The 27,276-nt window shown below is 40.2% G+C and overlaps 2 protein-coding genes and 1 long non-coding RNA gene across 27 annotated transcripts in view; 1 reads left to right on the top strand and 2 right to left on the bottom strand.

Moving 5' to 3' along the window:
* Positions 1-10,941, top strand: part of SH3BP5 (SH3 domain binding protein 5) — an 87,028-nt gene extending 76,087 nt beyond the window's left edge. For 7 of the 9 annotated variants that reach the window (NM_001018009.4, XM_011534251.3, XM_047449240.1 and 4 more), the window contains 5 exons: positions 3,005-3,135; positions 5,491-5,533; positions 6,244-6,463; positions 8,181-8,441; positions 8,991-10,941. In NM_001018009.4, coding sequence (NP_001018009.2) covers positions 3,005-3,135; positions 5,491-5,533; positions 6,244-6,463; positions 8,181-8,441; positions 8,991-9,208 — 873 coding nt within the window. In that variant the 3' untranslated portion in view covers positions 9,209-10,941. The remainder of the gene's footprint in view (positions 1-3,004; positions 3,136-5,490; positions 5,534-6,243; positions 6,464-8,180; positions 8,442-8,990) is intronic. The other 2 variants (XM_047449242.1, XM_047449241.1) reach the window with 1 other exon arrangement.
* On the bottom strand, positions 796-11,110 carry SH3BP5-AS1 (SH3BP5 antisense RNA 1). The gene is made up of 3 exons (NR_046084.1): positions 7,688-11,110; positions 4,712-6,660; positions 796-998 (listed from the first exon to the last, which is right to left on the bottom strand). It is a non-coding gene; the product is annotated as an SH3BP5 antisense RNA 1 (long non-coding RNA).
* Positions 11,111-12,377: 1,267 nt separating this feature from the next.
* CAPN7 (calpain 7) overlaps positions 12,378-27,276 on the bottom strand; it is a 46,671-nt gene continuing 31,772 nt past the window's right edge. For 3 of the 17 annotated variants that reach the window (NM_001376086.1, NM_014296.3, NM_001376087.1), the window contains 9 exons: positions 24,677-24,821; positions 24,441-24,540; positions 23,706-23,841; positions 23,041-23,116; positions 19,623-19,768; positions 18,500-18,562; positions 17,837-17,967; positions 14,271-14,363; positions 12,378-14,178 (listed from right to left, as the gene is read on the bottom strand). In NM_001376086.1, coding sequence (NP_001363015.1) covers positions 14,034-14,178; positions 14,271-14,363; positions 17,837-17,967; positions 18,500-18,562; positions 19,623-19,768; positions 23,041-23,116; positions 23,706-23,841; positions 24,441-24,540; positions 24,677-24,821 — 1,035 coding nt within the window. In that variant the 3' untranslated portion in view covers positions 12,378-14,033. Of the gene's footprint in view, positions 14,179-14,270; positions 14,364-17,836; positions 17,968-18,499; positions 18,563-19,619; positions 19,769-23,040; positions 23,117-23,705; positions 23,842-24,440; positions 24,541-24,676; positions 24,822-27,276 lie in introns of those variants that run through there. The other 14 variants (NR_164767.1, NR_164762.1, NR_164766.1 and 11 more) reach the window with 8 other exon arrangements.

Below are 27,276 nucleotides of genomic sequence, written 5' to 3'. Positions count from 1 at the left end.
TCTGCCCGCCTTGGCCTCCCAAAGTGCTGGGATTACAGGCATGAGCCCCATCGCACCTGGCTGCCCTGGAGGTTTTGTATATATATGAGAAGTGGGGAGATAGGGACAGGATGTGGTAGACGTGGCCTGGTGGGGCGAAGCAGGGGACAGTGATGTGCTGGCCACTTCTTCAGTTTTCACTGCCAGTATTGCCATGGGCTCGGAGCTTTCCAAGTGTTTTATTGTAGAAAGCCTGTGCTTCTGCTTGCAGCCTAGAGGCCAAGATAGAATGAGGGCCTGTGTGCAGATGGTGAGAATCCTGCTTCTTACAGGGGACTCTTTCTGTACAGGACCCTCAAATTACAGGTTCTACAAGTCTGTTGAAAATGCATTCTGACAGCTCCTTAAAGGTAAACCTTTAATTGGATCTTTTTGTAATAAAACAATCACCCCCAACATGTTGTCTTTGATGAACCTGAAGGTTTGAGTTTTCATAAAGGTTATACCAGTAAATCCTTAAAGCTTAAGATTTACTGCTGTTTCCCCAAGTATCAAGCATGAGATATTTTTAGTGCATTTTGTTTCCTTGTGAAATATCTGGTTTTGGAAGCAAAGGGAAAGGATTCTCTTAGCCCTTTGGTCTTGGTTGAGAAGTCATGTGAGCAAGCATGTCTCCTCGTGCCAGCTTAGCTCAGTTCTCTCCTATTTTTCTTCTCTGATTTTGTTGTTTTTCTGTTTTTAAAAATTATCTGAAGCACTGAAGCCTTTGTTAAAAGATATTTTTAAGAAGGTAAAAGCATAATTGGGATACAAATATAAAATTTTCTCGTGTCAAATATTTTATTTCTCTCATTAAATAAGGAGGGATCTAACAGTGATGTTACAATTCTTGAATTCAAAAAATACAAACTCATAGAAAACCAAGAGTGCCTCAATGAATTACCAACAGATGCAAAATGGACTATTACAAGGGCAGTCAGTAATCCACTGCATCTGTGACACAGTTCATCTTCATTTCTCTGGAAAAAAAAAAAAACCATTTGTATTACTGTCAGTTTTCTACAACTTACAGGGTTGTAAAACAGCTTCAAGACAAAGTCAGAGATAGCCTGGAAGGGTGCCCTAGACAGGACACCCTGTAATTTTTAATGCCCATATAAAAGTCTTTCATAATTTTTCATGGTACCTTTAAAAATCCTTATCGTAAGTAATAAGTAAACTATCCTAGGGCTGATTGTGGCTGTTGACTGGAGGAGATGGTAGAACATTGGCAACCTTCCTCTGTGGCCTTCTTTTTTAACTGTGAACTAAAGACATGGTGGTACCTCCCTAAAATTGTTCTACGGGGTCTGAGAGAGCTGACTAGTGACCATGAGCCCTCTGGGCTCCTCTCGGATGCTCCCCAGAGAATACAGAATTAGAGAATAACCCTTTAGCCTAACCTCTACTGTCTCTCCGGTTTATTTTATAACACTGAGTGGTAGGCAGAAGACAGGGAAAGAAATCGCAAGCTGCTTATGTGGCCTGAACTGCGGTTTGTTTCCCTCCTCTTTCTTCAAGGCAGGCCTTGTTCTGATGCTTTTCTGTAGGTAAGCAAGGAGAGAATTAACATTGCCCATGTCTCTGGGACTGGGCCTGTGAGCTGCTTTTGTTTTTTGGCCATTGAGGGCCCTTGAGTATTGGTTTTGTAACTCATTTTTTTCAACAGACTTAACAAAGTGTTCCCACCAGAATTTCCCACCAGAACTTTGACTTGTCTTCTGCTCACAAATGTTTGTGTACCTCAAAATCTGATGTGAATGACTGGGTTTTAATTTAATTGCTTAAATGTAAAGTTTGCCCTTTCTGGATCCTGAGTTCTTCTGTGCACAGCCAACTAGTTCAGAATATTTGGGAAAGGACCAAACAATGGAAGTCATGGCTGCTTTGCTGGCTTGACTGCCATCGTGCCTGGCACGATGCCTAGTTCTTGGTTTTGGTGGTCTCCCCATTAGGTTCCCCATCTCTTAGGTTCCCACTGCTGCTATTTGGCCATTTGCCTGCCCATCAGGCCCCTGCCCCAAGGTGTGAACGGGAGGAGGTCTAGGTGGCTACTTAGATCGAGGAACCTGAGAAGAAAGTGGACAGCTGTTGAATCAGAAAATAGTTCAAAATTTTCTGGTTTTTGTTTTTCCATTTTCTTTCTCAGTCATTGCCACAGCCAATTTAGCTATTTAATCTTTCCTCACAAGGCTTTTTCAAAATAGATAAATAGGAAAAGAAAACCACTGTTGGGAAGTTGGTTTATTCTTAGTCTGACCACTAATTTGCTCAAATATATATCTAGATATAGATATCTATATATACATATATATTTTGAGATGGAGTCTTGCTGTGCTGCCCAGGATGGAGTGCAGTGGCGTGATCTCGGCTTACTGCAACCTTCATCTCCTGGGTTCAGGTGATTCTCCTGCCTCAGCCTTTCAAGTAGCTGGGACTACAGGCATGTGCCACCATGCCTGGCAAATGTTTATATTTTTAGTAGAGACGGGGTTTTGCCATGTTGGCCAGGCTGGTCTCAAACTCCTGACCTTAGGCGATCCACCCACCTCAGCCTCCCAAAGGACTGTGATTACAGGTGTGAGCCACCGTGCCTGGCCCAAAGAGTATTTTTATTTTTGAGACAGAGTCTCACTCTGTCGCCCAGGCTGGAGTGCAGTGGCACGATCTTGGCTCACTGCAACCTCTGCCTCCGGGTTCAAGTGATTCTCCTGCCTTAGCCTCCTGAGTAGCTGGGACTACAGGAGCACACCACCAGGCCCGGCTGATTTTTGTATTTTTAGCAGTGACGGGTTTCACCATGTTGGCTAGGATGGTCCCGATCTCCTGACCTCGTGATCCACCCACCTTGGCCTCCCAAAGTGCTGGGATTACACATGTGTCACCATGCCCGGGCAAAGAATATTTTTTGAAAAATAATATAAGTAATATTCCAAGCCTGGGCTGTTCTGGGCTGGACTGGGCTGAACTCTGCTGTCATTTTAAGGTCATGGAGGCGGAGCAGACCAAGACCAGGAGCGAGCTGGTGCATAAGGAGACGGCAGCCAGGTACAATGCCGCCATGGGCCGCATGCGACAGCTGGAGAAGAAACTCAAGAGAGCCATCAACAAGTCCAAGTAAGTCTGGACAGGGCCTTCCCTGGGGCCGTGCGGCTGTCCTAGTCTGCATCTTCTCAGCCTTTTGTATGTCACACACTCAAGGACCACCCTGAGTAGTCCTTTGATGTAGACCCTGGGGCCTCACCAGAGCCCCCCTGCTCAGGCTCTCTTTCCCCCTAATATTCTATGACCCCCAGAAGCAGAGGATGCTAAGGGGTGGGCTGCTCTAGATATGACTAAGTTAGGAAACACAGAAAAAGGAATTTCAAAGGCACATTATTAAATGGCCCATTGGCTGGGATTTGGTAAATTCACGCTGTACTCTGGGATCTGTGGTTGACAGTGTTGTCAAGGCCCTATCCCTCAATTTATCTGTCAGTGTAATAGGGATGAGTTGTGTTCACAATACATGTTTCCTGTGATCAAGAGCTGATAAAATGCTGTAAGACTGGCTTTAGTAGAGTTTTTTTTTTTTTCTCCAATCTCTTCTCACTACAGCCCTGTATATTTTTATACAACATTGATAATGGTGGGCAGGCACAACTGTGTACCCTCTCTTGGGGACAAGCCCCCTGCTTCATTCCCAATTGCTAGGCCTCCTAGCAAAAGGAGGAGGACTTATGATGACCTAGACTTAACAGCCAAAGATAGACCCAGAGCAGGCTGTGCAGGGCTACTGAATGCCTGTTCTCCAGGTGTGGTCACAGCCCCAGCCAGGAGGGGCTGGGCAGTTGGAAGCTTGGCAGATGCCCAGTCCTCATGCAAGTGAGGGAAAGGTGACAATTCAGTGAGGAAGAGGATCTGCAAGGAAGAGTTTGGTCCTCCTAGGCTCTGTACTACCCCCCAGTACCTTCACCCAGGCTTGACTTTTCTTTAGTTTCTGCTCACACTCTTCCAACATACATATGTACACATACATGCAGAGGAACACCATTTAACCATTTACTATTGCACTTAATTGACTAGTGTATTTTTGTTTTGGTTTGGTTTTTGGTGTGTCAGGGGCTGATCTCCTGAGAGCTAAGTAGTAGACGTGTATATGGCATTTTTCTGCAGGGGAGGCAGGAGGTGGCGAGGGTTGTTGTAGGACCTGTGCCTGCTCTGGGCAAGCCCAGGCATCATCCACATGCCAACACCCAAGGAGGCCGAGGAGCAGCCTTTGATGCTGCTTCCTTTGGTGTGAATATGGTGGGTCTTTTCTCAAAAGACCCCGAATTCACACTGCACACACATCACATACTCATCCATTAACCTGTTTAAGAAAATAAATCTTGTGATTGTACTTTGCCAACCTTTTCAGACTCCGAGAAGAGTACAGGGATAGATCGTAGTCTTGGGTGGCTCCTGTCTGCCCAAAGGTTAAAATGTACATCTGTGCATTCCACAGAGTGGCTTCCAGGCCACCTCCATGCCCACCCTGCCTCTCCAGCCACACTCCCTTGCATGGATGCTCATGTTCCTTTTGCTGGGACATCTTCCCTGTGCCCTCCGATGCCCATTCACACACATACTCTTCACCTTGTGCTCCTTTTGGTCACACGAGAGAGCTTATACACCTCTCTCTCCCCCCAAATTTCAGGATTTTCATACCCACCAATGGCAGTCCTGTGTCCTTGTCATCCATCTGGATCCTCAGGATGCAGGACTTGAGAGCTTCATGGAGGGTGAACAGCTCAAGAATAAAGCAGTGATCTACTCTTAATGTTCAGGCACCAAAGTTCCTAAAAAAGAGCCAAGCTCTTTCAGCTGACCCAGAACCAAGGGAACTGCTAGGACGCTGGCATTTCTTGGGCCCATTATGTGGCTGAGTCAGCCAACTAATAACTCCAGTCTTTGGACAAGGTTTGGGAGGACCAACCTGAGACCCCCTCCTAGTGGTGGCCTTGCTGTGCTGTGAGGGAGGAGTGGTGCTTCTCTCTCTTCCCCAGTTGACTTCAGTAGAGGAGGAGGTTTAAGCAGCCCCTTCTCCAGCCTCAGCTGCTCTTCATCCCTGGGGAGCCAACTTCATTAGGAGAGCAGATCCAGGCCACCCTTACTGCTGGGTATAACCTGTGAGGCTCTGAACAGCCTTCCCACAGAGGAGGAACATGAGCTAAGTTGCAGAGTCCCCAAGATATGTGTGTGTGGGTTCCCCGTGTCTTGAGATGGGCCTCCTGTTAATATAGCCCTGGGTGAGCCCAGTCGTTCCATCTGGTGTCTGTCAGTCTCCAGAGCTAGGAGCATCACTGACATGTCACGGCCTTGTTAAGAGTTTACTAAATATTGGAAGGACGACCTGGCCAGTGGTAGCTGATGCCTCTTGTTCATCTTGTGGAGTTGACTGTGGTCACTGTATTATATTACTCTGATGGCTTTCCTTCCTGTCTTCTGCAGGCCTTATTTTGAACTCAAGGCAAAGTACTATGTGCAGCTCGAGGTATGTGTAGCTTTGGGCTTCGTCACTGATGAGATTTTTCTGCACTCAAAGCTTCACTTTTCTGGGGTAGCAGAGTATCACATGGGCCACTTGCTATAAGGGGAAAGTGGAGAGACAGGCTTTACTGAGTTTTCAGACCTCAAAATTGTCTCGGTTGGGTCTTCAGTGGTCTCTGAACCTCTGTAACTGCCATTCAGTCACCTTCTCTGTTGTACTAGGCCAGTGGTTCTCACAGCATGCTCTTAGGACCAGCAGCATCAGCATCACCTGGAGACCTGATAGACCAGGTCCCACTCTAGACCGACTGAATTAGAAACTCTGAGGTTGGAGTCTAGTGAGCTGAGTCTTAACACCCAAGGGGATTTTGATGCAAGCTCAACTTTGAGAACCACTGTACTGGGAACCAGATGTCTAGACTGTGGGACTTTGGTGTGTCTGATGCCCATTTTTGCTTCCCTGATGGGGTTTGTTCCACCAGTGAGAGTTTTTGGATATTAGAGGTTGTCACCTGGATGGGATCTGGGGATGGTGGTGGCTGATTTTGTCTGGTGAATGAATAGCAGTTACAATGGTAATTAGGTCTTCAGTCATGTCTTGGAAAATTCCTTGAAGTAGAATGATGGGCAGAAAATGTACTTGAACCTGTCATTCAGAAAGCATCTTAAGGCTAGCAGGGTAGTCTTCACTTAGTCTCCTGTTCTCTTGATCAGCAACTGAAAAAGACTGTGGATGACCTGCAGGCCAAACTGACCCTGGCAAAAGGCGAGTACAAGATGGCCCTGAAGAACCTGGAGATGATCTCAGATGAGATCCACGAGCGGCGGCGCTCCAGTGCCATGGGGCCTCGGGGATGCGGTGTTGGTGCTGAGGGCAGCAGCACATCTGTGGAGGATCTGCCAGGGAGCAAACCTGAGCCTGATGCCATTTCTGGTAAGTCAGGGGCTCCACTGGGTATGTGGGGAGATATCAGACTGTGTGATTTGTTTCCCAAGGTCCTCACTTTCTCTGGCCATCAGTGAAAGGTCTCAGAGTTGGGCAGGCCTGAGGGCTATTTCTGGTGGGTTCCCATGTTTTATGGAACACTGTGTTCATTAAGAAGGTACTAAGTGTTCCTCAAAGTCAGGATTCTGTGGTCAAATAAATTGGGAAAATGTTACACCTTCACTCCTCTTTGAGAGTCAAAGTATACATTTGAACATTCAAGGCTGAGAAGTCCTGCAGGAAAGAAGAGCTGTAATCAGATTTGATTCAAAGCTACCTTTACATCATTACTAAGGCATGATGTGGGCAAGGGCCTAACTTTGTATTTCAGTTTCTTCACCTGTAAAATGGGGAGTATGACGCTATCTACTGTATACTATCCGTTGTGTAGGGTGGTGGTTCAGCTTACATGAATCAACCCCTGACACCCAAGAAGCACTCAGCAAATGGTGGCTCTTACTGACATCTGACCATAGAGACCTCTTTTCCCAGGGCCTCCCCCTGGAAAACTGATAGAAGTTTGACTTGGTTTCTGTCATGCTCATCAAGAAAACCCACCCAACGCTGTCTTTGCATACTTCCTTTCTTTTCCTTACCTGTGCAATAATCCCTGTCGGCTCTTTCCCAAGCTCCTTCCTCAGGAGTTAATTCCTTCAACAAATATTTAAGTACTAGGTTCAAGGTAAAGGAAAAGGAAACTATCATTTGAACAACTACTATGTATGAGGTACTTTAATATATACATCATCTCAAACCCTGCATGGAGAGGATCATGAAGCTTACAGAGGTAAAGTAACTTGACCAAGGTCACACAGCAAGTAGTGGAGTTAGGGATTCAATTCAGGTCTGAGCCCATTTTCTGTCCCCAACATTACAGTATTTATCATTTATAAGAAACCTTTATGGAATGCTACAAGGCTGTTTTTAAAGAGAAAGGGGGGGAAAAATGGAGTAGGAAAGTTCTAATAAGGAGTGGGATTGTGGGCAGGCTGAGGGAAAACCGCTAAAGGCCAAAGAGGCTTTGAAACCATGGGAATAACATGTGTCTGGGCCTTGTTACTTTGGTCTACCAAATAATGTGGCTACAGAGCATTGTAAAGGATTTCTGTTCTTTTGCAGCAAATGGTGATGTGGGTAGCCTTTGAGTGTGTTCTTTATGAGATCAGAAGTTACCTGGAGATAACAAAGGTCCCAACAGATGTTCCATGCTGGCCTGTTTCTTCTAGCAGCTCTTGCTTCTATTGCCCTAAGAAAGAAGCCTGAGTCCAGCTGGCTTTGTTTGGGATATGTTACAGAGGACTAGAACCTCTTCCTGTGCACATGAGGATGTATTTGGGGGACTGAGGTGGAGTAAAGGTCCTAATTTGTGGCTGAATTAATCTTCCATTTTTAGGTGGTGTCTGGTGACACTGATTTCTTGGCAGGGTTATAAGGTTATTGGAAGGGCGCTTAATATCCATGGGATCCTGCTGCCAGCTGCTTCCCTTCCAGCTGCTTTAGAGGCTGGTCATTCAGGCTTGGGAAGTCACATTCCTTCATTAGGCACTCACAGAGGTAGAGACTCTTTAGTCCCCCATGCTGTGTCTAGCTGCCTGCCAGCAGCAAGCACTTGTGGTGTTTGAGGAGGTGACAGAACCCATGTGACTGGTGTTCTCTCTCAACTTAGTGGCCTCGGAGGCCTTTGAAGATGACAGCTGTAGCAACTTTGTGTCTGAAGATGACTCGGAAACCCAGTCCGTGTCCAGCTTTAGTTCAGGACCAACAAGCCCGTCTGAGATGCCTGACCAGTTCCCTGCGGTTGTGAGGCCTGGCAGCCTGGATCTGCCCAGCCCTGTGTCCCTGTCAGAGTTTGGGATGATGTTCCCAGTGTTGGGCCCTCGAAGTGAATGCAGCGGGGCCTCCTCCCCTGAATGTGAAGTAGAACGAGGTGAGTAGCAGCCTTCTCACCCCGTCCCAGATGCCACACTGCCTCTGTAGCCTGACTGTTGTGCCATTCCATACCTCTGCCAGGTCTCAGGGCCCCCATGCTGCATTACCAGGTCTCTGTGGTTGTGCTGTCAGTATTGATCACTGAGGTTGTTTCCAAGTGCTGTTCTGGGGGGGCTCCTGGCTCCACTCAGCTTCTATAAAGTAGAGCTTAGGTCCTATGTCTCACATCAGAACAGTCTCCTTGGCAAGCACATAGTAGAGAGGTTTGTTTCTCAGCAATAAAGTGAATATGGCAAATTTCATCTCTATAGCTAAGGAATATATAAAACATCACAAGGAATAAAAGCAGTAAATGATTATGTACTGAGAACCTCTCTGATAGGCACGGTAGGTAACAGTGGGACTTCTACAGGGCTGAGTTAGCTGACTGGTTTGAGCTCAAGTGACTTAGAATTGTCAATACTCACTTTTGATAATCTTTGTATTTCTATAGGAGACAGGGCAGAATTGTCAATACTCACTTTTGATAATCCTTGTATTTCTATAGGAGACAGGGCAGAAGGGGCAGAGAATAAAACAAGTGACAAAGCCAACAACAACCGGGGCCTCAGCAGTAGCAGTGGCAGTGGTGGCAGCAGTAAGAGCCAAAGCAGCACCTCCCCTGAGGGCCAGGCCTTGGAGAACCGGATGAAGCAGCTCTCCCTACAGTGCTCAAAGGGAAGAGATGGAATTATTGCTGACATAAAAATGGTGCAGATTGGCTGATTCATCCTGGGCCCTGGCCGATGTGCATATCAACATTTATACATGGAACTGGAGAACATTGTGCCAATAATCATTTAATATATGCCAAATCTTACACGTCTACTCTAAACTGCTCTAATGAAGTTTCAGTGACCTTGAGGGCTAAAGATTGTTCTTCTGGGTAAGAGCTCTTGGGCTGGTTTTTCAGAGCAGAGTTCTTGTTGTGGGTAGACTGTGACTAGGTTCACAGCCTTTGTGGAACATTCCGTATAACGGCATTGTGGAAGCAATAACTAGTTCCTATGAAAGAACCAGAGCTGGGAAGATGGCTGGGAAGCCAGGCCAAAGTGGGGGCAACAGCTTGCTTCTCTTTCTCTTCTCACCCTCAGTTTGTATGGGAAAATGGAGATGTCCTCTCCACTTTATCCCACGATATCTAAATGAAAAAGAAAGAAAACCCACACACAAAGCAAAAACTCAAGTATTAAGAGCACATATTTTTGACCCAGTGGAGGCTTAAAAAAAAAAAAATCCAAGAACACAATTCATTTTCACCACCTCTGGTGTTCAGAGGGGGCTTTTAAAAAAGCGTGTATGCTGGGATACCCATTAAAACCATTTTCTAGAAGGCTACCATGAGCTGCACTTTTTGGGGTGGGAAAGGTGAATGCCAGTGGGGATGCGGGGGGATGAGGGTAGGAGGGACTTATAGAAGGGGATTTGTGGCTGTGGGGGAGAAGGTTCTACAGCATAAGCCTTATCCTGCCAGCCAAGGGGATTTATTCTAAGAGAAGTGCATGTGAAGAATGGTTGCCACTGTTATTAGATTGACAAGATGTTAATTTCTCTGTAGGTTGTAACTTTAAAAATAAATGAAATTATTTAAGGGTTATGCTGCACTAGTATTCCTTAGAGGAAACAGTTCTTTAAAGTTAGGAAAGGGAGTAGGCAGGCATGTGTTGGCAAAGGCTGTTAATAGTAGTTAAGTGTTAAGACTGCTTTTCTTTAACGTTTTCATGGTAATGCATATTTAGAGCACTGTATTTTTGTCTTGTTAAGAAAATTTAGCATTTCTAAAAGAAAAAAGCAACCCTCTTTCAAACTGTTAATTCTGTCACAGCCTGTATATTTTAGTCATTTGTAAATCTCTTCATACAATAGTGACTTCTTTTTTGACTGATACAGTATCTTAATTACAAGGTTATTTTGTACTTGTCTTAATACACTAAGTGTAATAAAAACGGCTTGAGAAAAGTTTCTCCTTTCTGTGACTTCAAATAAGAACTCCCAGTATTGCCTAAATCTTCTAGGCAACCCTTTTTCCATAAGGAAGAGCATGGAGTGCTGTGGTCACCAGTAATCATTTTCAATTAATTAAGGTCATGAACAGTAATAATTTAAGCCTTGTTTACCAAGGTTTGAATTCTACTTTTGCTGTTGCTAAAGCTGTGGGCAATGAGGAGACACAGTGGCAGATAAAGACGAGGTGGTGACGCTGGAGGAGTGGGCCTCGGCTGCACACTGCAGTCTCGAAGCTTAAGTGTTGCTGTCAGTCAGTTCTCATCCCCAGAGAATTATTTAATTAATTAACTGGGGGGGGTACACTGGGGCATTAGACTTTTAAAAGCTCCCCGAGGGAATTCAAATGTGCATTCAGAGTTGAGAATCAGATGGATTCTTTCTTTTGTGGAAATGTTTTATAATATTGGACTCTTAATCCGCATTTCATTATTAAAGCATGCTGTGGAGAAAAAGTTCTTGGTTGGCCAATCATGAGGTTTAAGTTTCAGAAATAACCCTTTGCAGTATCAAACAAGTGTTTTACCTAGTAGTTAATAAATATTTCATCTAGGAAAGTTCATAGAAGTCCCTTGTGCTATTTAAGAACATTAAACAGCCGGCTGGGCCCAAGGGCTCATGCCTGTAATCCCAGCACTTTGGGAGGCCAAGGCTGGTGGATCACTTGAGCCCAGGAGTTCGAGACCAGCCTGGGCAACATAGTGAAACCCAGTCTTTACCAAAAATACAAAAATTGGCCAGTCTTGTAATTTGGGTCTCAAGCAAGAACACTTAACAGCATACCTGAATTTGACTAGTGACCTTCAGGGTTCATTCAGTTCTCATAAAATCTCCTTACACCCTTTTACCTGTAGTAAAGACACTGAGACTTGCTTGACTTACCATTAGCAAAAACTTCCCTGCAATTGAGGCAATTCTTTTTCCTCCTAGAAGAAACACCATCTGGAAAATAGCCCAAGCTAGGATAAAGTTTTTACAGCAGAGTCAAGTTATACAGTCTAATAACTAGAAATTTCTAGGTACTTCTCGCAGAGAATGAAAGTGGGAAGGAGTTTTCTAACACTGGGGCTTTCTTTCCCTTGTCTTTACAAAAGACAAAGCCTAGGCAGTCAGTCAGTAGCACTAGAGTATTCCTTATGGGCATTAAGAATTTCTCTTGTTTCCTGCCTCAATCCCCCTTTCCCATCAGCCTACCACTTGCTTGTCTCCTACACCAGAAAAGGATGCAGACCACCTTTTGACCAGGGCTCCCTTCTCACACTATCACCTAGTCAAATTTCTAGTTTTACGTAGTCTGCCCCTACTGCTGTCACTGTGGCCTCTTTATCTCCACCACATCTGACATTTAATTATACTCTTCTGGGAATTCTGTTCACTGGGCTTCTTAATCCTCCCCCAACCCTCGTTTTCTTGTATCTCCTGTTAGTCTATGTATTTTTTTCTAAATTAGAAATACTTTCTAAAAAACTTCCCCCAAATCAGTTCTTAACCATCTTTAGTTCACGTGACTCTTGACTTTTTGGGTGATCTCACTTACTATACCACGTTGATTCCAGATCTGGATTTTCTGGGCAATTTAATGTGTCAAAACTTACCTTTCACTGAAGCTATGAGCATCTGTCCATGTGCTGAATTAGAAACTTGAGTCATCCTCTCTAACAATTCAACTGGTCTGTCTGTTATTTAGAACCTCCAAAAGGCCTGGATTGTTTTTCCTCCCTCTACAATGGGTCTAGATCTTGTCCCTCCCTCGACTAGACGGCCGTGACTGTGGGTGCCATTAGACACACACAGCAGCTCAATCAGGGCTCAGGGAAGAAGGCTTGTGAACCCTGGGCAAAATCTTTTAATCTCTTAGGCTTATTTCCTCAATTGTAAGAAGTACAAATAATAGTATCTATACTTTATTCAGCTATTGGGAAGATTAAAAAGAAAAATATACACATTGGGTACATAGTAAACACTCAATGGTCAGTAACCTGTCTTTTGAAGCTTTACCTTCAAGGTCCAAGTTAAAGTATCAATTCTTCAAATACAATTTTTTATATTGGTCCAGCCAAAATTAATCTTTCCCTTATTCATACACTGGTGGCATGTTTTTAGAGCTCTATTATAGAAATCAGTGCCTTTAAGTTGTTCATATATAGGTCTCTTCTAATAAATTTGATGGCAGGGATTAGGTTTTTAGTTTGCATCCTGTACAAGATCTTTACCACAACAGGTTCAAATCATGTGTTCATAATATAGTTCTTATGTTCTGGATTTTTTCTTTTTAAAAAGTAACAGAAAACTTGTTAAATTTGTCCACCTAAAATTAATAGGCTAAAACTGAAAGCATGAAGTATTTACCAAAGTGAAATCTCATTAGTGTAATAATCTACCACTACTCTGTTAAAGAACAGATTTTTGTTGAAGTATATATTTTCATGCAAATAATCTGTTCTCATTTACATGAAACACGACAGATGAAATCTTTCAATAAATCTAACTTAAACTATGCAATATCCGTAAGTATAAACATTTTATTTCAATTTAAGGTAGTAGCAATACAAAATAAGTTTTGATAATTATAAAGTAGAGACAATGAAAAATCCCACCCTATTTTTAGAATTTTAAAATATTGAGCATCATTCTGTCCTGATGGGTTTTTATGTAAAGTGGGAATTTACATGACACCAGTATCTTGGCAATTCACTTTTTTTGAATGCTACATATCCCAATCACCATATATTAAATTCTCTATTTTCTTCAAAGTGCTATTGCCACAAGAGACTGAACGATACAGCAATTTAAAAAAAGACCACACAAACTAAATTGTAATGTCTTCAATATCTCAATTACTGTTTTTTAAAAATAAAAACTGCAGTAGTGAATTTCTTTAAGTTCTTGCTACATGATTGAATGGGAGATAACCTCAACAATTTTCATTCTTAGGCATGAGCATCTTCATGCTAAGGTAGTCTATACTTAAAAGCTTTATTCTTTCATAACACCTGGGCAACAAATATTTTAAAATCATAAATAATGCAAAATTAAAATCAGTTATGGTGGCACAATTCATTTGGTAACTAGTTGCCCAAGATGTATAGTAGAATCAAGCAGGTTTAACTTCCACATGCTCTGCAAAAAAGGGAAACAATGGAAATATTTCGGTATATTAATCTAGCCCACTATTCCACTCAAGGAATCTATATCCTTTCTTTTTCTCATCTGGTCTCAGTTCCTTTATCCTCTTAGCAAAGGCATCTCACAGTGATGACTGAGTCTAATTTTAATCATATGCACTTTTTATACAAAATGGCCCCTAAAATGCAAGCCAACTCTATATACACAAAACCATGTAAACGGTACCTCTAGGTGATTTAGGTAATTCTGACTATATACAGTTCTTACCAAACACCCTGACAAGCACCAGATTCCACTGTAACACGTTTTTAGAGATTTAATTCCATTCTGATTGTTCTGCTTACTGTCCTGAAGATTTGCGTCCTTATTTGAAGAACTGATGTTTGGTAAGTATAAAAGCCAGTAACTTGAGATTTCTCCATCACTGAAGTTGTGTGATCTTGATGGGGATAATACTATTAAAGTCCAAGAAAAAAGGTCCTTCTTGTTTAGGCAAAAAGGTACTAGGAATGATATTGAAGATCCCAGAAGGTATATTTTCTAATTCCAGGTAGCAAAACCCACACCTATATTTAGAGAAAATGAGAATAAGGTTTATAGAAGATGATGCCACAAAAAGTAAAGTATAAAATAGATACAATAAAAATGCCAACATTACCTATAGTCACCACTAGATTTCCTCAGAAAGCCATGGGGACCAGGATCTCCTAGAGTAGAAACTGTTACAACCTCAAATCCAACGCTATATTGCCTAGCATTTAAAATGAACAGAATTACTGTATTAATATATATTCTCAAACGTGATTTAAAATAACTTTATCTGAAGTGCAGATGTCATACTAAGTTTATGTTTCTGAAGTTTCAGTAGAAACATACACACTCTATTTTTGATCATAACACACCATTTATATTTTTCAGTTGAAGCCTTAAAGATTAACACCAGATTAAACTTACTTTAAGAGAGACTGTATTTTTACCATGGGCTCCCCGGGAAATATTTTATTTTTTTTGAGACAGAGTCTCACTCTGCTGCCCAGGTTAGAGTGCAGAGGCACGATCTTGGCTCACTGCAACCTCCGCCTCCTGGGTTCAAGTGATTATCCTGCCTCAGCCTTCTGAATAGTTGGGACTACAGGGGTATGCCACTGTGCCTGGCTAAATTTTTTTGTATTTTTAGTAGTGACGGGGTTTCATCATGTTGGAGAGGCTGGTCTCGAACTCTTGACCTCAGGTGATCTGCCAGCCTCGGCCTTCCAAAGTGCTGGGATTACAGGTGTGAGCCACTGCGCCCGACCTCTTTTTTATTTTTGAGACAGGGTCTCACTGTCACCCAGGCTGGAGTACAGTGGAGCAATCATGGCTCACTGCAGCCTTGCCCTCCTGGACTCGGGATTCTCCCACCTTAGCCTCCTCAGGACCTGGGACTATGGGTATGTACCACCATATCTGTCTAATTTCTTAAATTTTTTTTTATGGACAGGGGGTCTCACTATGCTGCCCAGGCTGGTCTGGAACTTCTGGGCTCAAGCTATCCTCCTACATTGGCCTCCCAAAGTGCTGGGATTACAGCCTTGAGCCACCACGCCTGGCCACAGGGTATAATTAAAAATATTGTCATTGGCCAGGCGCGGTGGCTCACGCCTGTAATCCCAGCACTTTGGGAGGCAGAGGTGGGTGGATCACAAGGTCAAGAGATCAAGAGCATCCTGGCCAACATGTTGAAATCCCGTCTCTACCAAAAATACAAAAATTAGCTGCGCATGGTGGTGTGCACCTGTAGCCTCAGCTACTTGGGAGGCTGAGGCAGGAGAATCGCTTGAACCCAGGAGGCGGAGGTTGCAGTGAGCCGAGATCACACACTGCACTCCAGCCTGGTGACAGAGCAAGACTCTGTCTCAAAAAAAAAAGAAAAAAAAAATTGTTATTGTAACAAATGGAAAGGCCTATGGGACAGGAAAGAAAGCCCTGAAACAAACTCTGAATTTACAGAAGTACTTAGCATATTATAAACGTGGCATTCCAAATCAGTAAGGAAAGATTCATTTAGATGGTGATGAGGTAACAAAAAATTTAGAAAAAAACTCTTAAATTGTATTTCATACCAAATATAAAAATATATTCATATGAATTTTTTAAATGCAAAAAATTGAACCATAAAATAATCAGAATATGGTGAAAATTAATTTGGTAATGTGGTGAGAGTTCCTGTCCACAGCAAAATGAAACCAGAAGACAGATTCATTATTTTAAAATGAAATGTTTTTCTATGTGGGAGAAAAATGACAATCTGAGAAAAATATCCACAAATATGTGAAGGAGTTAATACCCTTACCTTTTTCATGCTTATAATTAAAAAAAATGACAACTCTATGGGCAAGAAACATGAATAGGGAATAAACAATATTGTAATGAACATTATTACATGTTCAATCTATCTAGAAATTAAGTACAAAAGAGCAAATAGGTTTATTTACCTATTTCACCTATCAAACTGGTAGAGGTTTTAAAAATGACTTTCTTGTGGAAAAATAGTTTAATCAAATCTTCGTATCTAATGGGTTATTAACTGCTGCTGCTGGATTAGTTTGTAAGAAAAGCAAAATTAAGCCCAATCTTATTTAGAAGGTAGTTCTGTTTTTATTTGTATTCTGTTTTTGTTTTTTTTTTTTTTTTTTGGTTGTTGTATGAGACAGGGTCTCGCTCTGTCAACCAGGCTGGAGTGCAGTGGCATCATCTGGGATCACTGCAACCTCTGCCTCCCGGGCTCAAGTCATCCTCCCACCTCAGCCTCCCAAGTGGCTGGGACTATACAAAGCACATGCCACCATGCCTGGCTAAATTTTTAAAAAAATTTTTGCAGAGATGAGGTTTTGCCATGTTGCTCAGGCGGGTCTTGAACTCCTGAACTCGATCCTCCTGTCTTGGCCTTCCAAAGTGCTGGGATTACAGGTGTTAGCCACCATGCCCAGGCTGTATTCTCTATATTTTTTAAACCTTTTAAAACTATGAAATATAACACTTAAGTAAAACATATATACAACTTAATCATTTGCAAAGTGAATAAACACCTGGGTAACCATCACCCAGATCAACAAATCCTCTCAGCACCACAGAATTCCCTGTATATTCCTAATTGCAACTCCTGTCCCTCGACAGAGCTTTTATAGTAATAACTCTCTTGCTCTGCTTTATAGTTTTACTACCTTAGTGTGCATCCTTACATGAGTATTTCAGTTTTGTCTGTTCTTGACTTCACAGAAGTAGAATCACATGGTATGTATTCTGTACATGTGGCTTTTTAAGACTTATCCATTATGTTGTGTGTAGCTGTAATTTATTTCCATTGTTATATCAGGACTATTATATGACTATATTATAATCTTAAATGTTGTCAATGAATATATGTTTCCAATTTCTGGCTATTACAATGGTTTACTGGCCATCTGGATTGCCCCCTTTATAATGTGTTTTTATTTTTTTATTTTTATTTATTTATTTATTTTTTTATTATACTTTAAGTTTTAGGGTACATGTGCACATTGTGCAGGTTAGTTACATATGTATACATGTGCCATGCTGGTGCGCTGCACCCACTAACTCGTCATCTAGCATTAGGTATATCTCCCAGTGCTATCCCTCTCCCCTCCCCTCACCCCACAACAGTCCCCAGAGTGTGATATTCCCCTTCCTGTGTCCATGTGATCTCATTGTTCAATTCCCACCTATGAGTGAGAATATGTGGTGTTTGGTTTTTTGTTCTTGCGATAGTTTACTGAGAATGATGATTTCCAATTTCATCCATGTCCCTACAAAGGACATGAATGTGTTTTTATTTTTTAAAAACTGCAGATTTTTTTCTTATCAATGCAGCATATTTACAAACATTTTAATATGCTCTTTGTCTTAAGAAATCTTTCCTCTCTTGAGGTTAAAACATTTCCTGCATTATCATCTAGAAGCTGTATTGTTTTGCCTTTCACATTTAGGTTTGTAATCCACCTGGAATTTGATGTGAAACAGGGTTCTAATTACCCTTTTTACACATGGATACTCAATTATTCCATACCATTTATTGAAAAGATTGTCCTTTCCTCACTCCACTATAATGCCATTGTTATAAATCCAATGTCCATATATGCTTAGGTCTGTTTCTAAACTTTTTTGTTATACTATGTTCATTTGTAATAGAACATCATTAATTTAAGAAAGTTACTCATCACAAACCTTGGTCCTCGTAGCTCAATCAGTAACGGCCCAGTCTTTTCTATATGGAATTGGTAGATGGGGTTATTTTTGTGAGTCTCTTGGAAATTTCCACATCCTCCAGCACTCTGACCACTCCACTTTCCATTAATCTAATAAAAACAAAAGTTTTAGTATTAACAAAATTTCATTTCCAATTCCACTTAAAGACAAAACTCCTTTCCATCTCAAAAAAAAAAAAAAGGCAATTTTCCACTCTGTGTCTCCAACCCCTCTCTCCCATCTTTATTTGCTGCTGACAGCCAGGCTGCTTTGCTCCACTAACCCCTATTTCCATCTCTTAGCCTCTAATCAAGTTGTTCTTTCTACCAGGAATTTTCCATAGAATCTTCCTCTATACATGTAGCCCACCCTGCAGTTAGTCTCAAATGCTACTTTTAAGGTTCATCCACATTGCCTTCTCTAACAACCAAAGTTTGCATTCATCTTCTTTCTCTGAATTTTCTTTTCACAGATGTTGCTCACTGAAGATCTTGTATTCCAACCCAAATTGAGGCCATTTACGTTTCCCTTATATTCCTGTGAAGCCTTTGCTAAATATAAACAATAAAATGAGAGAAATGGGAAAGGGAATTTAAAAATTCTAAAAGAATGCTGAGATTACAACCAAATGAATTTTCTCACCCGTTTTGATAAGGTGTATGGTGAAGGAATCTTTGAAAAAGTAAAGCTGCATGCTGAATATACCTAGATTTAAAAAAAGACTGTATTGATAAATTTTACACTTACAAGAACATCAAAGTGATACATGAATATATTGGAAGACTAAAAAAATCAGTTGGCATACACAAGTCATTATAGGCAGCCTAGTATCAGGTCAGGTTTAATGAGCTGGGAACTGAGAAGCTAGGGGTCTGGTCTTGGCTTTCTCTGCTAGTAACTGTATGCCTCAGGACAAATCACAATTTTTCCAGGCTGTGGCTTCTGCATCTGAAAAAGGAATGGGTGGCAGCAGCTCCCAATGTCCCTTTCATCACTAAAAATCTATTCAAATTGAGCCGCTTATCTAGAGCAAACAAATCTATATAGAAGAAAATTACAATGACCTTCCCAGCTAGATGAGAGCAGTACATTTCTAGGTGACTGATTCTCTTTCACTAAGTTCAAAGTCTTTTTAAAGTCAATAAAAATATTAAACAGCGAAATAAGTTTTTATTGCTTGCTTTAAAATGAAATATATTGGCTGGGTGCAGTGGCTGACACCAGTAATCCCAGCACTTTGGGAGGCTGAGGTGGGTGAATCACTTGAGGTTAGGAGTTTGAGACCAGCCTGGCCAACATGGTGATACCCCATCTCTACAAAAAATACAAAAATTAGCTGGGCATGGTGGCAGCACCTGTAGTCCCAGCTACCCAGGAGGCTGAGGCAGAATTACTTGAGCCCGGGAAGTGGAGGCTGCAGTGAGCCGAGATTGCACTAATGCACTCACTCCAGCCTGGGTGACAGAGCAAGACTCTGTCTCAAAAAGAAAAAAAGAAATGTATTATTAGTCCAACATACTATATTACCACGGGGCTAAACTATTACTATGAAAATAAAAATGCTCTTTCAAAATAAAGACATTTCTTTTCAAATGTATTATTTTCTACAGAAAGTATAATTTACTATTAAAATGATAAGCACAAAAAAAGAGAGCAATACATTTTCAGAAATAAACTTTTTCTCCAGATAATACCACTTACAAAGCAGAGCATATTACATACTTTATATTACTGTGTTTTGTCATTGTGTGTTGGTTTTACTTACCCGAACCGTGTAATGGATTGTGTTCTGTTTTTCATATTGAGAAACCACTAATGTAAAGGTATGGGTGCCAGGTGTGGTCAGCTTTATCTTAGTCAAATAATGAGGGCTGTTAATTCGAATTCCATCAATGTATGGAGGTGGGTCAGCTGCAAACAAACAAGTAGGCTTAGAGAAAAGGAGACTTTTCTTTCTTTAATTTTATGGTTGATGTAGGAAAAATAATTACTTGGATGGACATCTCCTTAACTGATTCTCTCCTTAAAATATAATGATATTAGTGAATTATAATTTCAGTTGAAAACTTTAAAATTAAACAGTTCCTAATAAACAAAAATAATCTTTTTGAATACTTTCAATGAAGTATAATAGTACTTGCTATTTGCTCTGTGTTGCATTTCAGTAATTCCTACTATTTGTTCTGTGTTGCATTTTTCTCCCGTAGAGGATCTTAAAGTCAGGATTAGTTTTTTTTTTGAGATGAAATTTAAAAAAATAAAAAGAAGTATATAAAAATATATATTCCCCACCACTCAGGTTTAAATTAACTTTTTTTTTTTTTTGGTCATTCTAGCCTTTTCATAAAACAATGTCTCTTTTAACCACTACACTTATCTTATTCCCTTCTATTGATGGATTTAGTCAGCATCTTTTTAGACTTGAATACAAACGTACCCACTCCTAAAAATGAATGAAAAAAATAACTGTTTCTGGTATAAGTGTATATATTAAAAAAAATAGTGCATGTCTTATATCTTTCATTTTTCACTCAACATTTTAAAAAGAGCTATGTTGTTCTATACAGATAAGTTTATTTCTTATAACTGCCTGTATAATATTCCATCATACAAATATGACATTTTATCTACACCCCCAATTGCTTATTTAGAAAATCTGGATATTCAGATTATTTTCAATATTTTGTTATTACAAAGAATGCTGCCTAATATATTATTTGATAGTCCCATCAGTCAAGCCTGATACAATAAAATTTTATGCATGACAATTACTATATGTTAAGATCGATGGTCTCACTTAGCTTATTTAGGAACGCTGAATATTTATAATGGGACCTATCAGAAAAACTAAGTATTTTGGTATCTCAAACAAATCATAAGTCTCTAATGATTAGGGGTGGTGTGGTCTAGTGAGAAGAGTAAAGAATTGGCATATCTGTGGATCTTGAACAAGGTTTTTAACCTTTCCATGTTTCAGTTTACTCTTCTGTCAAACAGGGAACAAGGCCTGTCCTATTTACTGCAGAGTGTTGTAATTAAAATAAAATTATAAACATGAAAGTATTCTGAAAAGGCAAAATCACTATACATAAGATGGAGCATTGTTTTAAAAAAAGGAAAGCTTGGCTAGTTTAACTCGATATTTGTCACTGGACCTACTATGTGCCATGCCCATTCCAGAACGCAGGGATATTGACTAGCAAGACTCAGTGCCTGCCATCAACACATTGTAATAGGGAAGAATGCCATACTTCCCTATGATTAAACAAAGTAAGACTTAAACCACTTCTGATCACATCTTCCCATCACTGCCCATTTCTTTGCACAGCTTTCTTGCAAGAACTGTCAACAGTTGCTTCCTTACATCATAGTCTCTTTTAAAACCAATCCAACTGGGCTTCTAGCCCCACCTCTCCACTATGCCTGTTCTTATCAAGGTCAACAATGACTGACTGCCACGATGCTAAGTCCAATAGTTTCTTCCCTTTAATTTTTATTTTAGGTTTGGGGGTACATGTGAATGTTTGTTACAAAAGTAAATACGTGTCATGGGGGTTTGTTGTGCATATTATTTCATCACCCACGTATTAAGCCAGGACCCAATAGTTATCTTTTCTATTCCTCTCCCTCCTCCCACCCTCCCCCCACTTCAAGTAGACCTCAGTATGTGTTGTTTCCTTCTTTGTGTTCGTAAGTTCTTATCATTTAGTTCCCACAATAGTTTCTTCTCTCACCTAATCTCATTTGATTTCTCAAACATCAATAGATGGAACTGTCCTTTCTTTTTCTCTTGAAAAATGTTCTTTGCTTGGGTTATGTGAAACCTCACTGTTTCATCAGGCCCTCTGTTCAAATTCTTTTGTGGTACCTTTTTCCTCTGCTGAACCTCAAGGTGTCTGAGAGTCCAAGGGTCAGATCCTGGGTGTTAATCTCTGTACCCACAACTCTCTTCACAGGTGATTTATGCAGTCCTATCTTCAAACTCCATCTATATGCTCCTGACTCCCCTATCTGTATCTCTACCCTTACCCCAGAACTCTATTCAAAAATCCAACAGCCTAGCTGCATCTTCATTTGGAGCCAGGACATGTCATTTTCCTGATTATGACAAGCCAAAGACTCTCCGAACCCTTCCTGTGGTGTACAGAACCTCATGTGATCTGACCTCTGCAAATCTTTCTGACCTCTTTTGATACCACACCTACCCAGGCAATTGGCCTGTTCTCTGTCCCAAAAATACACCATCTTTTCTCACTGTAAGGTCCTTGTACTTGCTGTTCCCTCTGCCTGTAATGCTTTTCCCTTGATTTCTTTGCATGACTGGTTCCTTTTTGTTATTCATAGCTCTTCTCATCCCTGCTCAAAGAGGTCTTCTATGACCACCCACCAAAAGCAACCAGTCACTCACACATAACCCTTTTTTTTACACGTGTATCAGTACTTGATATTTTGCTTATTAACTGTCTCCCCAACTAGAACATAAACTCTATGAAAGCAGAATCCTGTTTTGTTCATCACTATTCTCCAGAGCCTTAAGATAGTTTCTCTCACTAAGTGATACACATTTTTTAAAAATGTGAAAGCAAAGTGGTTTCAACACAATGTGTTAAATATCTCAGGTGCCCAGTGGAAGGAATGGTATTTAGGCTGGACCTTAACTATGTGCATTAAGCAGAATAGGGAGAAAGGAATAAGGCAGGAGGAGAGATTCTTGAGAGAAGAAACCATGTGAAAGAAGGCAACAAGGGCATGGTGTATTCTGGAGTAGCAACTATGTCAACTGTGAGAAGCTGGGGCATGAAATAAAGGGGGGCAGGTAGATTAAGGTGGGAATAAAAAGCCTTATATATCATGCTAAAGAGCTTAGATTTTATCCAGAAGTTCAAGGAAAACCACAGAATACATTTGATTAGAGTAAAAGACATCATTTAAGTTTCAGAAATAAAATTCTGACAGCCATGTGCGAGAATATGGAAATCCCCCCTTGGAGTCTCCAAATTAAAACAAATCAAAACAAAACACAGAACAGCATGAATACCCATCTGCTTGAGTGGTTTCTATTAGTCTATCAACATAATTATTTCTCTATATTATCTACATAAAATGTGTCATTTTTCAACTTAATCATATAAATAAAATCTTATGTATGTTTATTTTAATGTTTGCTGGGCTACTAAACATACCTGGGTAATAAACTTTTTTCCCATCAGTCTTGTATACAACCATTGTGATAAATTCTCGATTATTCGCAAAATCATCCTAAAATCACAAAGAATCCAATGTGGTTAGAAAATGGGTTCAAAATGCTATTTATTTTCTTTTTAAATCTCTCCAAAAAAATGCTCTAAATCTCTCCACAAAAAATCTCTAATTTTAAGAGCATTGTTTTCAGCTATTTAGTGCTATAAGAAACATTGTTTTTCTGAATTAAATTGTCATTTTAATAGATGACCACAATGTATGAATGTATATTAAGATTCGGAGGCTATTAAGATTATGGTTAACCTTTACAGAATCAAGACTAATGATTCAACATTTCCAAATTCCCTTCAGCATATTTCAATGTTAATATTAAGATCTAAACTATACACGATCAACCCCCAAACCCTCACTGAAAAGCACAAACTCCCTCATACTTTTCTTCAGAGATGACTTTTGAACAAGATTTTAAGTGTATAATTATAAAATACAAATTTCCTTAGAGGAAAATATTCATTTATCTGAGAAAACACTATTCTCAGGGCACCTATGTAAATTAAACAGGCTGGTGTTTACGTATGTCTTTCACAATGTTCTAACTATATTAAAAAAATTTCTGTATGGGATATCATTAGAAGGGTATCAGTACCTTGTCTGTTATGTGTCTACTAAGCAAAACCCAAACTGCAGCACCCCCCTGTGGACACTGCACCTCCAGTTTGTACTGGGGGTTGTTGGCCAGGCTATAGGCATCTTTCACAGGTCCTTGCTTAGCATCCCAAGTACTAAAAGATAAAGTCAACAAAGAAGGTTGTAATTAAATTTCTCATAGAGCTAAAATATAACACTATTTCAAAAAGTGAATTAAGCTATCCAAGTTTTTGGTTTTGTTTTACTGTTTTTAAATTTTTTTGGCATAACTAGGAAGCATGGAAAGAAAACAACTATTAACAAGATAGTCACTGTGGGCGTGACAAAAAGATGGAATGCTAGTCTTCCTAAATTAACCATTCCGTTATTTATTTATTTTTTTGAGACAGAGTCTTGCTCTGTTGTCCGGGCTGGAGTGCAGTGGCATGATCTTGGCTCACTGCAACCTCCACCTCCCAGGCTTGAGCGATCTGCTGACCTCAGCCTCCCGAGTAGCTGGGACTACAAGTGTGCGCCACAATGCCTGGCTAACTTTTGTATTTTTTGTAGAGACAAGGTTTTGCCATGTTGCCCAACCTGGTCTAGAACTCCTGAGGTCAACTGATCCACCCACCTCGGCCTCCCAAAGTGCTGGGATTACAGGCATGAGCCACTGCGCCTGGCACCATTATGTTTTTAAGTGAGGAAAGTGGATGCTATTATAAAGCATACTCTGCAATGTGCAAAAAGTTACCTGTGAATACATGTTGATTCTTTAAAAAGACCTGGATTCCAACTCAAATAAATCACATCATAATACTGGCAGAGATCATCCCAGGAAATCCAAAATATTCCTGAAAATTAATATCTTTGTTAATCTAAAAAAATCTTAATGCTAAATGATTTAAGTCAGTTACACATGTTTTGTCTTGTTAAAACATGTTTTTTTTTGAAGAATAAATGGTATTAAAATTAAAAAGATATATTTACCGTTGTCTATTTTCTGAGCTGTTCGGGGATCAAAGTTTAAATACTTTTGCAACTCTGGAGTCCAGTTTTTTACATCATTTTCACTGTATCTTCCTTTCCAACGTAAATGACTCCAAGGATTTTTCAACTGGATAAATCGCAGCCCCTATATAAAAAAGAAACAGGAGATAACATTAAGTTGTAAAACAGTTTTTACCATATTAGTTCTCTTATTAGAGGATGAACTGAGTACTTATCAATTCTTTTCCCCTCAAATCAACTTGAAATTAATATTTTTAACACTTTCACCAGGTCATACATCGATCAAAAACTGTAAATGGCTGCCTACTCCCTAGAGCTAATAGTGCAGTCTTTCACCGCATGTAGTTAAGTTAAAATTATATAAAATTCAAAAATCAGTTCCTTAGTCACAGCAGCCACATTTCAAATGTTAAATGACCACAGGTAGCTAGTAGCTATAGTGGCTAATGCATTGGGCAGCCCAGATACAGAACATTTCCATCATTGCAGGAGTTCTATTAGACAGTACTGCCTTAGAGCATGAAGTATTTTCTGCCTTTTCAAAGCTCACTCTACTCTGGCTCCACTTTATTTTCCAGTATTTATACTCCATGTACCTTTGGCTCTAATCTAGTTTTTCCTTTCAGAGTGCAATAAAATCCTTATTCAATTTTGCCTCTAAAGGCAATTGATCATGCTGTTCCCTTTTTCTGAAAGGCCCTCTTTGATCCCTTTAGCTACCCTTTCTTCTCAGTGCAGACAGACATAGTGAAGAAAAGAGAAAGGAACATGGACTTTGGGGTCAGAATAAAATGGGACCAAATTCCAGTTCTTTGGGTGGGTCATTTACCCTCTCTGAACATTCATTTACTCATATGTAAAATGAAGATTATGATGTGTCCCTAGAAGATGGCTGTGAAGATCAAATGGAATTAACATAAAGTATCTAGCATTTAGTAATTTCTTTCTTTTAATTACTTTGAATTCTCCAACCTTCATAGTGCTAGCAATCTGTATTACATTAGTTTAAAACAAATAGTATCCTATCTTATACTGTTTCCTACAAATGTAGTCATCTTGTCTCCCCAATGTAATCATCAACTCCTTGAAATGGTAACACTATCATCCCTTTTCAGATTTTCCACTCATTTATGGAACAGAATGTAAAGGTAAATGCTTAGTAAATACCAGGCATGTCTACAGAATTGATTACATTGATTCGGGAAAATAAAAGAGGTGGTAAATCCAAAATAATATTTGTCTTACTGCAAGCAGTCACCTTAGGAAATTGTGTACTTTTTCTAATGATATCATAAATCAAACTGTTTGGAAGACATCTAAACAACCACAACAACACATTCCTTTGCTATTTTAAATGGTGACAAATTGTGGCTGGGGGTAGATGTATGTGATTTCTGGACATAAGACTCATTCCTCTTAGGCTATATTCCCTAGAAGCTTCATTAATACAGTTTCTTTCATCAGTATCTTCTACACTGTATGTGTCTCACCACACATAAGTCAACCGACATTTAACTCTAATTCCTTTCTTTTCAAAAAATTTAACTCATTTCAGGACTCTCAACACTTCCTAAAAGAGGAGCACAAAGGAGAGCAAATTGTTGCTAAGCTTTTCAGAGACAGACCCCCAGCATCAGTGATATTCAAGGACACCAAGATATGGATGTAGATTTTGTTTGGATGGGTAGAGAACCAGCTCTAAAAAGAAGGAATGCTAGAGAACAAAAAAAAAAAAAAAAAAAAAAAATTTGATTTTGCTGAAGCATCCAATTTCTAAAGTTATTTCCAAGTAGCAGCAAAGGAAAAGCCTTGGACAGCTTCAGAAATTCTATGATAACACCTGTCTGAACTGAAGTCAGCACCCTGATCTGGAGATGTAACTCCATAGTAGACTATGAAACATCACCTCAAAAACACAAAAATGACCCAAAGAGAGAATCGCTGAGACTAAAATGAAGACCTTGGAATATGCAAGCAGATTAGAGGTAGTCAAACAAAAATGATAGCACTTTTATGCAAATATTAATAAATATTGAAAATCTCTTTAAGTGAAGAAAGTCACCAATGATGTAATACTGAGCAGAGCTGTCAGAGTCTAAGATTAGGTCTTTCTGCAAAAAAGAGGTCCTAGAGATAAATGCTTGAATCAAATATGGAAATATTTTAAAACAGAAGTCAGAATTGGCCAGGCGTGGGGGCTCACGCCTGTAATCCCAGCACTTTGGGAGGCCAAGGTGGGTGGATCATGAGGTCAGGAGATCGAGACCATCCTGGCTAACGTGGAGAAACCCTGTCTCTACTAAAAATATAAAAAATTGGCCGGGCGTGGTGGTGGGGCGCCTGTAGTCTCAGCTACTTGGGGGGCTGAGGCAGGAGAATGGCATGAACCTGGGAGGCGGAGCTTGCAATGAGCTGAGACCGCGCCACTGCACTCCAGCCTGGGCGACACAGTGAGACTGTCTCAAAAAAAAAAAAAAAAAAAAAAAAAGAAGTCAGAATTAAATAAACACTTCAAAATATAAGTAGCAAAAAATAAAAAATAAAAATAATGCACCTAGGAAACTCCTTGAATATATACC

The sequence above is a fragment of the Homo sapiens genome, chromosome 3 (genome assembly GCF_000001405.40).
Source record: "Homo sapiens chromosome 3, GRCh38.p14 Primary Assembly".
Taxonomy (NCBI): domain Eukaryota; kingdom Metazoa; phylum Chordata; class Mammalia; order Primates; family Hominidae; genus Homo; species Homo sapiens.
This window is presented reverse-complemented; position numbering and strand designations above follow the sequence as displayed.